Source organism: Homo sapiens, chromosome 1 (assembly GCF_000001405.40).
Source record: "Homo sapiens chromosome 1, GRCh38.p14 Primary Assembly".
Lineage (NCBI taxonomy): Eukaryota > Metazoa > Chordata > Mammalia > Primates > Hominidae > Homo > Homo sapiens.
The window spans coordinates 170,621,188-170,634,838 of NC_000001.11; the positions used below are offsets into that span (position 1 = coordinate 170,621,188).

The 13,651-nt window shown below is 39.4% G+C and overlaps 1 annotated feature.

Annotated features, from left to right (window-relative positions):
- Positions 10,145–10,644: an enhancer, noted in NCBI's record as "H3K4me1 hESC enhancer chr1:170600473-170600972 (GRCh37/hg19 assembly coordinates)". NCBI's record gives its function as "activates a minimal SCP1, AML or CMV promoter by ChIP-STARR-seq in naive H9 embryonic stem cells {active_cell/tissue: H9 hESC(naive)}" and the evidence as "EXISTENCE:reporter gene assay evidence [ECO:0000049][PMID:30033119]".

Below are 13,651 nucleotides of genomic sequence, written 5' to 3' on the forward strand. Positions count from 1 at the left end.
CTGTAATCAGTATTAAAATTCTGACATATAGAAGTAAAAATTTAAATAACAAGGTATAGGACAAGACTTTTATTTGATACAGGAAAGGTCTTACTGGAGGAGAATATGACCCAAACTGGATAAGGACAGACACATCTTCCTTGGCCAGATCTGACAAGTGGCTTTTCCCAGTTGTCTCACAAAAAAGAATTACATATTAATAACCCATATGCTTTATGTTTCTAATATTTAAAAAAGAGGTGATTGTAAAATATTTCAAACAACAGAAAATAGTACACTATCACCAGCCATATTTTACATGGTTTAGTATCTTATCATATTCGCTTTAGATCTAATTTTTTGTTGCTGGGCGCGGTGGCTCACACCTGTAATCCCAGCACTTTGGGAGGCCAAGGCAGGCGGATCACTTGATGTCAGGAGTTTGAGACCAGCCTGGCCAACATGGTGAAACCCCATCTCCACTAAAAACACAAAAATTAGCGGGGCCTGGTGGCAGGCGCCTGTAATCCCAGCTACTTGGGAGGCTGAAGCAGGAGAATCGCTTGAACCTGGAGTGTGGAGGTTGCAGTGAGCCAAGATCACACCACTGCCCTTCAGCCTAGGTGGCAGAGTGAAACTCCATCTGACACACACACAAAAAAAGACCTTCTTTGTAAGAAAGAAGACATAGCAGATATATTAATATTTGAAGGGTACAATAGAAGACAATCCTCTCCTGCAATTCCATTTCCTTTTTTCTCTCCATGTTAGTACCTGAAATTGGTGTGTATTTTGTTGTTGTTTTTATACCTTACTACCTGTAGATGTATCAGCAATCATTATGTAGTATCGTTTGCACATTTTAAAATTTTACTTAGATAATATTATGTTGTTTTACATTTTTGTATGATTTTACCCTACCATAGTTATTAACATTTATCCAAGATAGTATATACATATATATATATCTTCTAATTATTGTAACCACTAAAACTAGTCTACATATGTATATGTGTGGGATGCCATTTAATGATAGTTCACTATTATTACTTTTCATTGTTGTACTTTTTATTTTGCATTTCCTTGATTATAGGGAGATTGATTTCCTTTACTGTGATTTCTCTTTTCATATCTTTTGCCCATTTTTCCCACTGGATTGTTTGACTTTGTGAAATTAATTTCTAGCAGTTTATAATATATTCTAAATGTCATTTCTTTGACAATTATATGCCTTGCAAATAACTTCTCTCTACTATGTCTCTTTAATGATTTATAGACTGCTGTATATAATGGCACATCTCACCTCAATTCCTTAAATCAGCCTCATCCACTATACATAGTTGATGCCAAAAAGGAAATATTACAGCAACTTCACTGTGCTTTTCTATCAACCTCATTCTTGTTCAACTTCAGTTATACCTTGCTTCTAGCCCTTGGCTCTGTTTTTCTTTGGCCTCAAATCCAATCTTTTGTATGACATTTGAACTTGCATATCCAAGTTTTTATATTCTGTGCTTCCTGAAAATGTTGTTCAGCACTCAACCTTTGTCATCTCATCTTTTTCCTTCTTGTGTAGATTCTCTGGATCTTATATAATTTATATCCCATGCTTTCATGATTGTGATAAGCTAGATCCTTTGGTCTAGCATTGAAATTTCTCTTAAATGCTAAATCTTTAATAAATGAATTTGTTTTCTTCAGACATATATTTCTATCATAGATCATCTTATTAATGTATTTTATGACTTCTTTATTATCTGTTTCCCTCCATTCCATCCTCCTACAAGAATGTAAACTTTATGAGAGCAAGAACTTTGTCTTTTCACCACAGTATTTTCAATAATTTTTGAATGCAAAAATGAATCCAGATAATGTTCTTTGCATGATTTCTTATTTTTGGAAACCCAGCACAAGTCTTTCTAACTAAGGTTCTATACCGTTCTCACATCATAATATGTAGCTAGTCAATCTTCATTAATTATTTTTGTTGTAATTTCGTTATCAGAGCACCTTTGATAAGTATGGCAGTTTTAAAACATGACTGTAAATTATTTGTCATTTCTCCCATAAAGAGGTCCGATTTGTGTACTCATTCTTGATTTGGGTGAGTTTGTGGTGCCACAGGATTTTTGAGACTGAGTCATAAAAAGTCATGCAATTTGCACCGTGTTTGCTGGAACACTTGCTCATGGAATCCTGAGTCATGATGTGATAAGTCCAACAGCATATCCTGAGGCCACCATACTGTGAGGAAACCCAAGCCATATGGAGAGGTCACATGGCAACATGCAGATCACATAGTCACATGTAGGAGTTCTAGGTGACAGTCCCTGCTTAGCCCAGGCTCTGATTTATTCCTGACCAGTTCCCAGACATGGAAGAAGCCTCTAAATGATTCTGTCTCTCAATTGTTCAAGTCACTCCCAGTCATTTAAGTCTCTTTAGCTGAGTCCACATATACTATGAAGCAAAGACAGAACATGTCCACTGTGCTCTGCCTGAATGCTAAATGCTACCCTATACAAAAAGGATGCCAAATTAATTTTGAGGCCAAAATTCTATTATGGTAGAGTGAAAAGACCAGATAAACCACGTTTTAAATTAAAATGTATAACCAAGCTGACAATAATTTGGATTTGTTGCAAACTAAAACTCCACCTTAATAGATCAACTATCCAAAGAAAAAAATCTTGTTTTCTATACTTTTTGGCTATTATCACAACTCAAAGTGATAGAAGAAAAATAAAAAATTGAAGACTCCAGCAAATATGTTTCTAAGATATCTGATTTGAACAAATCATCCTGGAAGAATACTTTATAAATTTAACCATCATTACAATACCCTCAAGCCCAAAAGCAGTCTAGAGCTTGGGTAATGTTGGCCCAAGAGTTCATTATAATGATGGAATCTATTGCGTCAATACCAAAATCCCCAGCAAAGACTCTTAATATATAAATGGATGAAGGTCAGTACAAATGAACCCATATTCAGGACACTGTCAGCTCATGCTTTACATATCACTCAGGGGCATTTTATTCTACTCATTACTGTCTTCTTAAAGCTCTCCTCTCCTTGGGAATCTGTGACACTATTCTAGTGGTTTTCCTGCTCCCTATCCAGGTTTTTCTTCTAAGTCTTCTGTGGACACCTGTTCCTAATGCTACTGCAAGCACTGTCTTCAGCTGTCGGTTCTTATCAAAGTCATTCACATGAGTGGCCTAATCTACCATATACATGCTGACGACCTTCACATGTCTACCTCCAATTCAGATTTCTCTTGAAGCTAAACACATAATCTGCCCCCTTGGACATATTCCCTTAAAGATAGAATCTTCTTTCTCCCAAGGCTGGCTTGCTGCAGGTGTACTGGTCAAAGCCTAGGAGCCACCCTACCTCTGGCTATGTGTGTTGACTTCAGACCAGAGTGAATGTGCATGGAATCTAAGACACATTTCAGGGCCTGATCCTGGACTGGACATGGCTGTGGGTCCAGGAAAAGGCTGGGTCTCCAGTAAATTTTAGAGGATCAACAGGAATTTTGAAAGCTATCTACAAGGCTTCTTGTAGAAATGCCTAGCTTGATGGCCTATGGAAGCTTTAATGTTTTCAGAAATTGACTTTGTTCTTAGACTGCAGGCTATATGACAATTTTGTCTATTTTGCTTAACATTGTATATCCAACACTTAACAGATTGCCTAATCTAGGATAGGCAGACAATATTGACTGAAGAGATGAATGTATGAATCAATGAGTGAATGAAATATTCTCAGAACTGTTTTCCTCCCAATATTCCCTGTTTTTGGAACGGTGACATCATCTCTTTCCATTTTCCCAAGCCAAGAACCTCAAAGTCATCCTAGATCTTCCTCTCCTAGCCCTCACACGACTGTTTGATCATCAATTCTGTCAATTCTACTTTCTGACTATCTGCCCCTCCTCCCCATCCCCATGACCATTGCCTGAGTTTATCACCAACCTCTTCATCTTTTACATGGCTATCAGAAAGGTAATTCTAAACACAAGTGCCACTACGTCACATCCTACCCAGCTCTGCCACTGAGCTGAATGACTTTGGACAAGTTACTTAACCATGCTGAGTCTTGCAGCAGATTGTGAGGCTTAAACAAATTAATAAAGGTAAGCTATTTAGAACAGAGCCTGGAATAAGGTAACAGTCAATAAATGTTACCTAGTGCTTTTGTTATTATAATCCACTATTCTTCAATAAACCTGATTTGTCTACAGAAAAACAAAAACAAAGGCCAGGCACGGTGGCTCACGCCTGTAATCCCAGCACTTTGGGAGGCCAAGACAGGCGGATCCCCTGAGGTCGGGAGTTCAAGAGCAGCCTGGCCCACATGGTGAAACTCCATCATTACTAAAAATACAAAAATTAGCTAGGCATGTTGGCGCATGCCTGTAATCCCAACTACTCAGGAAGCTGAGATGGGAGAATCACTTGAACCTGTGAGGCAGAGGTTGCAGTGAGCTGAGATCACGCCACTGCACTCCAGCCTGGGCTTCAGAGTGAGACTCTGTCTCAAAAAAACAAAAACAAAAACAAATAAACAAAAGTCAATCCCTTTGCCAAGCATGTAAGACTTTTCTTACCTGACTTCCACTGGTCCAGCCTCATTCCCCACTCTTTTTCTCTAAATGTGGGTGATACCGAATCACTTTGCATTTTCTTTTCTTTTTTTTTTTTTTGACTCTGTCCGCCAGGCTGGAGTGCAGTGGCATGATCTTGGGTCACTGTAGCCTCGGACTCACAAGTTCAGGAGACCCTCCCACCTCAGCCTCCTGAATAGCTGGGACTACAGGCCTGTGCCACCACACCTGGCTTTTTTTTTGGGTAGAGACAGGGTTGCACCATGTTGCTCAGGCTGGTCTGTAAGTGATCTATCTGCCTCGGTCTCCCAAATTACTGGGATTACAGGTATGACACCACCCCTGGCCACTTTGCATTTTTGATACATGTCATGCTTCTTTATACCTTTGCATACACAGTTATCATCCCTTTGTAAACTCCTCTCACATTTAAATTTCAGTTTTAATGCTGTGTCCTCTAATGAACTTTGCCTGACATCTTTAAAGTCAGATGCTTCCCTGAAAGTGACACTTAACTTGTGTATATGACACTCATGTATTTCAGCTCACTGTATTAGTAAATTTTCAAGCAGCATTTCTCTAGCTTTATTAAATTGTATACTTCTTTTGGGGAGAAATAATTCTTTTTAACTTTGTTCCTTTTTTCTATTAATAGTAATAGAGTCTAACATTTAGCATACATTCAATAATTGTTTGTTGAACAAATAAAGCACCCTATTATTAAACCATTAGAAATGACATATTATTGATAGGAAAATAATGTATTGAGTAAATAAAAAAATCCTTTAGAATTTATGATTCTCTTCTGAGAAAAACTTTAGTTCTGTATATTTAATGATTTAAGTAGGTAAGCTCATCTTTTGAAGACGATCCATAGTTAATGGTATTTTACTGTCATATGTTTCTTCTCTAACACTCTGCCTTTCTTTTTCTTTTTTTTTTGATGGAGTTTCACTCTTGTTGCCCAGGTTGGAGTGTGCAATGGCGTGATCTTGGCTCACTGCAACCTCTGCCTCCCGGGTTCAAGCGATTCTCCTGCCTTAGCCTCCTGAGTAGCTAGGATTACAGGTGCCCGCCACCATGCTCGGCTAATTTTTTTGTATCTTTAGTAGAAACGGGGTTTCACTATATTGGCCAGGCTGGTCTCGAACTCCCGACCTCGTGATCCACCCACCTTGGCCTCCCAAAGTGCTGGTATTACAGGCGTGAGCCATTGCACCCGGCCCTGCCTTTCTTTATGTAGATCCAAGTATCTATCATGTCATGTTTCTTCCTTCTGAAAAAATTCTTTTAACATTTCCTGCAAGGCAGATCTGCTAGTGACAAATTCCTCAGTTTTTACTTGTTGGAGAAAATCTTTCTCTTTTAGTTTAGAAGAATGAAGAATTCTAGACTGGTGGTTTTTTTCTTTTAATACATTAAATATTTCACCTTACTCTCTTCTTGTTTGCATGCATTCTGAAAATAAGCCCAATGTAGTTCTTTTTTTGTTTGTTTTTCTTTATTTCTTCTAAAAAAAAAACAAAATGGGATACATGTGCAGAATGTGGAGGTTTGTTACATAGGTATATGTGTGCCATGGTGGTTTGCTGCACCTATTGACCCATCCTCTAAGTTCCCTCCCCTCATCCCCCACCACCAAAAGGGCCCTGGTGTGTGTTGTTCCCCTCCCCATGTCCACGTGTTCTCAGTGTTCAACTCCCACTTATGAGTGAGAACATGTGGTGTTTGGTTTTCTGTTCCTGTGTTAAGTTGCTGAGGATAATGGCTTCCAGCTTCATCCATGTCCCTGCAAAGGACATGACCTCATTCCTTTTTATGGCTGCATGGTATTCCATGGTGTATATGTGCCACATTTTCTTTATCCAGTCTATCATTGATGGGGGTTTGGGTTGGTTCCATGTCTTTACTATTGTAAATAGTGCTGCAATAAACATATGTGTGCATGTGTCTTTATAGTAGAATGATTTATATTCCTTTGGGTATATACCCAGTAATGGGATTGCTGGGTCAAATGGTATTTCTGGTCCTAGATCCTTGAGGAGTCACCATACTGTCTTCCACAATGGTTGAACTAATTTACACTCCCACCAACAGTGTAAAAGCGTTCCTATTTCTCTACAGCCTTGCCGGTGTCTATTCTATTGTTTTCTGACTTTTAAATAATTGCCATTCTGACTGGCGTGAGATGGTATCTCATTGTGGTTTTGATTTGCATTTCTCTGATGATTAGTGATGTTGAGCTTTTCTTCATATGTTTGTAGGCTGCATAAATGCCTTCTTTTGAGAAGTCTCTGCTCATATCCTTTGCCCAATTTTTGATTTTTTTTTTCTTGTAACTGTAAGCTCCTTGTAGATTCTAGATATTAGAACTTTGTCAGATGGGGAGATTGCAAAAACTTCTCCCATTCTGTAGATTTTCTGTTCACTCTGATGATAGTTTCTTTCACTTGCAGAAGCTCTTTAGTTTAATTAGATCCCATTTGTCAATTTTGGCTTTTGTTGCCATTGCTTTTGGCACTTTTTTCATGGAGTCTTTGCCCATGCCTATGTCCTGAATGGTATTGCCTAGATTTTCTTCTAGGGTTTTTATGGTTTGGGGCTTTACATTTAAGTCTTTAGTCCATCTTGAGTTAATTTTTGTATAAGGTGTAAAGACAGCGTCCAGTTTCAGTTTTCTGCATATGGCTAGCCAGTTTTCCCAGTACCATTTTCTGAATAGGAGATCCTTTCCCCATTGCTTGTTTTTGGCAAGTTTGTTGAAGATCAGATGGTTATAGATCTGTGGTGTTATTTCTGAGGTCTCTGTTCTGCTTCATTGGTCTACATGTCTGTTTTGGTACCAGTACCATGCTGCTTTGGTGACTGTAGCCTTGTAGTATAGTTTGAAGTCAGGTAGCGTGATGCCTCCAGCTTTGTTCTTTTTGCTTAGGATTGTCTTGGCTATATCGGGGGGTGGGTCTTCTTTGATTCCATATGAAATTTAAAATTGTTTTTTCTAATTCTGTGAAGAATGTCAATGGTAGTTTGATGGGAATAACATTGACTCTATAAATTACTTTGGGTGGTATGGCCATTTTCACGATATTGATTCTTCCTATCCATGAGCATGGAATGTTTTTCCATTTGTTTGTGTCCTCTCTTATTTTCTTGAGCAGTGAAGAAGTCCTTCACATCCCTTGTTATCTGTATTCACATCCCCTGTTAGCTGTATTCTTAGGTATTTTATTCTCTTTGTGGCGATTGTGAAGGGGAGTTCATTCATGATTCGGCTCTCTGCTTGCCTATTGTTGGTGTAAAGGAATGTTTGTTATTTCTGCACATTGATTTTGTATCCTGATTCTTTGCTGAAGTTGCTTATCAGTTCAAGAAGTTTCTGGGCTGAGATGATGGGGTTTTCTAAATATACAATCATGTTATCTGCAAGCAGAGACAATTTGACTTCCTCTCTTCTTATTCGAATACGCTTTATTTATTTCTCTTGCCTGATTGCCCTGGCCAGAACTTCTAATACTATGTTGAATAGGAGTGGTGAGAGAGGGCATCCTTGTCTTGTGCTGGTTTTCAAAGGGAATGCTTACCACTTTTGCCCATTCATTATGATATTGGCTGTGGGTTTGTCGTAAATAGCTCTTATTGTTTACATGTATGTTCCATCAATATATGTTTATTTAGTTTATTTATATGGTTTATTGAGAGTTTTTAGCATGAAGGGATGTTGAATTTTATCAAAGGCCTTTTCTGCATTTATTGAGATAATCATGTGGTCTTTGGTTCTGTTTATGTGATGGATTACATTTATTGATTTGCATACGTTGAACCAATCTTGCATTCCAGGGATGCAGCTGAGTTGATTGTGGTGCATAAGTTTTTTAATGTGCTGCTGGATTTAGTTTGCCAGTATTTTATTGAGGATTTTCGCATCAATGTTCATCAGGGATATTGGCCTGAAGTTTGTTGTTGTTGTCGTTGTGTCTCTTCCCAGTTTTGTATCAGGATGATGCTGGCTTCATAAAATGAGTTAGAGAGTAGTCCCTCCTTTTCAATTGTTTGGAATAGTTTCAGAAGGAATGGTACCAGCTCATCTTTGTATTTTTGGTAGTATTCACCTGTGAATCTGTCTGGTCCTGTTTGTTTGTTTGTTTGTTTGTTTGGGAGGCTATTAATTACTCCCTCAATTTCAGAGCTTATTATTGTTCTATTCAGGGATTCAATTTCTTCCTGGTTTAGTCTTGGTAGAATGTATGCATCCAGGAATTTATCCATTTCTTCTAGATTTTCTAGTTTATTTGTGCAGAGGTGTTTATAGTATTCTCTGATGCTAGTTTGTGTTTCTGTGGGGTCAGTAGCGATATCCCCTTTATTATTTTTTATTGTGTCTATTTGATTCTTCTCTCTCTTCTTCTTTATTAGTCTAGCTAGCGGTCAATCTATTTGTTAATTTTTTCAGGAAACCACCTCCTGGATTAGTTGATTATTTGGAGGGTTTTTCGTTTCTCTATCTCCTTCAATTCGTCTCTGATCTTAGTTATTTCTTATCTTCTGCTAGCTTTTGTGTTAGTGTGCTCTTGACTCTCTAGCTCTTTTAATTGTGATGTTAGGGTGTCAATTTGAGATCTTTCTAGCTTTCTGATGTGGGCATTTAGTACTATAAATTTCTCTCTTTTGGGTTTTCAACATTGTATTGTTGATTCTTTCTCATCTTCGTGAGTTTGTCTAGTTTCGGTCTTTGAGGCTGCTGATCCTTGGATGGGGTTTTTGTGGGGGCTTTTTGTTGTTGTTGATGATGCTGTTGTTGTTGCTTTCTGCTTGTTTTCCTTTCAATGGTGAAGTCCCTCTTCTATAGGGCTGCTGAAGTTTCTGGGGGTTCACTTCAGGCCTTATTTATCTGATTCACTCCCATGTCTAGAGATGTCACTCAAGGAGCCTGGAGAACAGCAAAGATGGGTGCCTGCTCCTTCCTCTGGAACCTCTGATCTCAAGGGGCACCAACCTGTTGTCAGTAGAATTGCTCTTGTATAGGGTGTCTGACAACCCCTGTTGGAGGGTCTCACCCAGTTGGGTTAACAGGGAGCAGGACCTATTTAACAGAGCACTTTGTCCCTTGGCGGAGAGGGTGTGTTTCACTGGTGGGGGGAACTGACTCATCTGGGCTGCCCGAATTCCTCAGAACTACCAGGAGGAGAGGCTAAGTCGGCTGGTCTGTAGAGACTGAAGCCACCCCTCCTTCTAGGGGCTCAGGCCCAGGGAGATCCAAATTCTGTCCCTGAGGCTCTGGCTGGAGTTATTGGAGATCCTGCAGGAAAGCCCCGCCCACTGAGGAAGGATGGGTCAGAATTAGGCCTGAAGATGCACTCTGACCGCAGGCCAGCTGGTGTGTTGGGCTGTGGGGACAAGTGTTGGGACTGAGCCGTCCAGCCTCCCTGGCTCCAGCAGGGGAAAAGCGCAGCCTGGAGCTATAGAAATGGTTGCTGCCCTTCCGCCACCCAAAGAGCTTAGTGTGTTAGGCAGCTGTGAGTCCCAGTGCTGGTTGCTGCCCCTCCCTAAAGGAGCTCAAACAACTTAGACAGCAGGCAGCCACAGCCGGTGCTGGTCGCCCCTCCTGCTGGGAGTTCGATAGGCTTGATCAGATTCTAGCTGAGAAGCTGTAAGAATCTGTGCATTCTGGGGTGGGGGTGCTAGGCCCTGGTGGACTGGGTTCGCAAGTGGGATCTTCCGATCCGTGGGTTGCACAGTTCCGTGGAAAAAGCAGTTTCCCCGGCTGAGTAGCGTGCTCACTCACTGCCTCCCTTGGCTGGGGGGCGGCGATTCCCCTTCCCCATATGGCTCTCAGGTGGGCCGCAGCACCACACTGTTCTTCCTTGTCTCCATGGGTCATGCCAGCCCTCGAGTCCATTTTGATGACAGAACCTGGATACTTTGGTTGCCGGTAAAGGATTCACAAGCCTATTATGTTTTATTTTTCAATGAGAGCCTCCTAATGCTGTTGCTTCTTGTCAGCCATCTTGGCCCTTCCCCCAGCCCCCGTCCCCGTCCCCCATCCCCGTCGTCCCCAGTCCCCACCCCCGTACCCCGGACCCCCACCCCCGTCCCCCCCCACCAATGTACCACCCCCACACCACCAGTGTAATTCTTATTCTTACTTCTTTATAGGTAAGGTGTTTTTTCCTCTGATTTCTTTCAAGATGTTCCCTTTGTTTTTAACTTTCTGCAGTTTGAAAATTATATGCCTAGATGTAAATTTTGGTTTTTTATCCTACTTGTTCTCTGAGCTTTCTGTATCTGTGGTTTGGTGTCTATCATTAACTTTAGGAAATTCTCAGTTAGCATTGCTTCAAATATTTCTTCTGTTCTGTTTTCTCCTTATTGTCCTTCTGGTATTCCTATTATGTGTATGTTATACATTTTGTAATTGTTCCACAATTCTTGGATATTCTGTTGTCTTTTCTTCTCTTTGTATTTCAGTTTTAGAAGTTTCTATTGACATTTCTTTAAGCTCACTGATTCTTTCTTCAGTTGTGTTCAGTTCATTGAAGTGCCCCTTAAAGGTATTCTTCATTCTTGCTACAGTGTTTTTGATTTCTAATATTTCCTCTTGATTCTTTTAAAAAATTTTCTCCTTTCTGCCTACATCACTCATCTGTTCTCACGTTGTCCATTTTCTCCACTAGAGCTCTCAGCATATTAATCATAGTTGTTTTAAATTCCCAATCTAATAATTCCAACATCCTTGCCATGTCTGACTCTGGATCTGATGCTTGCTCTATCTCTTCAAAAAAATTTTTTTTTGTCTTTCATTGTGCCTTACAATTTTATATTGGAAGCTAGACATGAAATACTGGGTAAGTGGAACAGAGGTAGATAGGGTCTTTTTTGTGAGGCTTTACGTTTATCTGACTAGGAGTTAGGCTGTAGCTGTAGGTGTCAGAGGTTAACATTTCCTCTTGTGTTTTTCTATTTGTGTTTCTGGTTGTCTCTGAGTTTCCTTAGAGATTTCTTCTTAAATAAAGTCTGACACATCCAGTTCTTTTAGTTGTATTCCCCAATTATTATACAAGAGCCCTATTGGTGTGATGGTAAGGTGTGTGGCAAGAGTAAGTGTTCCACAGTCCTTTGATGCAGTCTTAGGCTTTTAGTTAGCCTGTGCTCCTGAGCTGTGAGCTTCATGAGTGCTTCTCAATTTTTCCTCCTCTTTGGTGAGTAAGACTGGCTAGAGGTAGCTGAAGTAGAGTATTTCTCTCAGGTCAGTTAGGTTCTGATAAGACCTCCAATTGATTAAACTCTGGTAAAATAGTTTTTCATGAGAGTAGGCCTGTTTGAGAAGAACAAAATAATCTGGGCAAATTTTAAATGGAAACTTTCCCCATACCCTTCAGGAAACAGAAGGGTTTTTTTTTTTGTTTGTTTTCTTTTTTTTTTTTTTTTTTGTTACCAGATATTCACTGTGAAAACCTGGTAGGGCTTCTAGATGTAAAACTCACAAAAGAATAGGGGCTCCCCTAAGATTAGGCCCCCTAGAGTTTTTAACTCTCAAATTTGTCCACACTGAGCTGCCAACAACTTGTCAATTACAGTTGAAATCTTCATATCTTGATACTGGTTCTTGCAGAAGATTTTTGCTTCTGGTCTGGTAATTGTGATTTTCTGTATTAACCTATTTCTCTATTTTGAGTTTGCCCTGTGACCTCAGTTTTCTGAAGGATATAAGAAGAGTGTTTATTTTCAGTTTGTTCAGCTTTTTTTGTTGTTGCTTTGTTTTGAGGATGAGAATGACAATTTCCAAGTAGCTTACATACTGGAACAGAGACTAGAAGTCTAGTTTGTGATATAAAAATTTATAAATACATGCTATTGCATTTGGCTAATTGCTCATCCCCTAAGAAAAGAGTGAGCATTCATTTGTCTATCTGTGCTTAGATGACATTGATTTTAGTTTCTTTATTTTTTTCTTTCTTTCTTTCTTTTTTATTTTTTGAGACGTGGTATGGCTCTTTCACCCAGGCTGGAGTACAGTAGTATTCTCATGGCTCACTGCAACCTCAAACTTCTGGGCTCAAGTAATCCTCTTGCCTCAGCCTCTTGAGTAATTGGAACTACATGCATGTGCCACCATGCTCAGCTAATTTGTTTTTATTTTGATTGTAGAGATGGGGTTTTGCTGTGTTGCCCAGGCTGGTCTCAAACTCCTGGCCTTAAGAGATCCTCCTATTTCAGCCTCCCAAAGTGTGGGGATTACAGGAATTAGCCATGCCATCTGCCTAGATGACACTGTTTCTGAGAAGTGAATAATAATATTCTGATGTTTTCTATAATTTTGTGCTTAATTTCAATTTCACTATGTCAGATGAGTATTGGCTTTTAGCAATACTGCTTATATTCAGTGTAATGTGAGAACTGTTAAGTAGTCAGTAGCTGCTTAACAATCTAAAAAGAATTCTCATTCTGGTAAGCCAAATGCCATCAGATAACTTTTTCTGGTAGATGATAATGCCACTCTGAAATGTCTACTTTTTGTGGAAAAAAAGTATGAAATAAATTGAGTGGTCCTTAGAAAGCTGGCATTTGTTTCTAAAAACAATTATTTTTGATTTGGCACATCTTACATGCGTGACTACAATGTAGACTAAGGCATGCAGGCCCTGGGAAGGCAACTGCAACTTCCAATTTACTTTTTCTCTTTTTACCACAAAATCTACTGCTTTGATAGAATGGAGAGTCTTTCATTGAGTCATCCTTTACTAATGCTATTAATGAGATGTCAGTGATGTACAAGCAGCATATGGACTCTAGAAAGCAGACTCTCAATGAAGCATTGGGAAATTCCAGAGGCATTATATTCTAAACTGAAGAGGTTTAAGTCATATTGTTTTCAGAAGATGAAAATAGCTATGGATAAATTTTAATTGGGTAAAGTTTCACTGAGTCTTTTCCCCAGCAAAACAATAAAAAAGCCATTGGCTAACTCTGGTGGTCTCCCTTTATGCTATTAGCCATGATATTAGTCTTGCTTGTTACTGACTGTGTGTAAAGATGTAACTGGTTTGAGAACACTTGTACCTTAA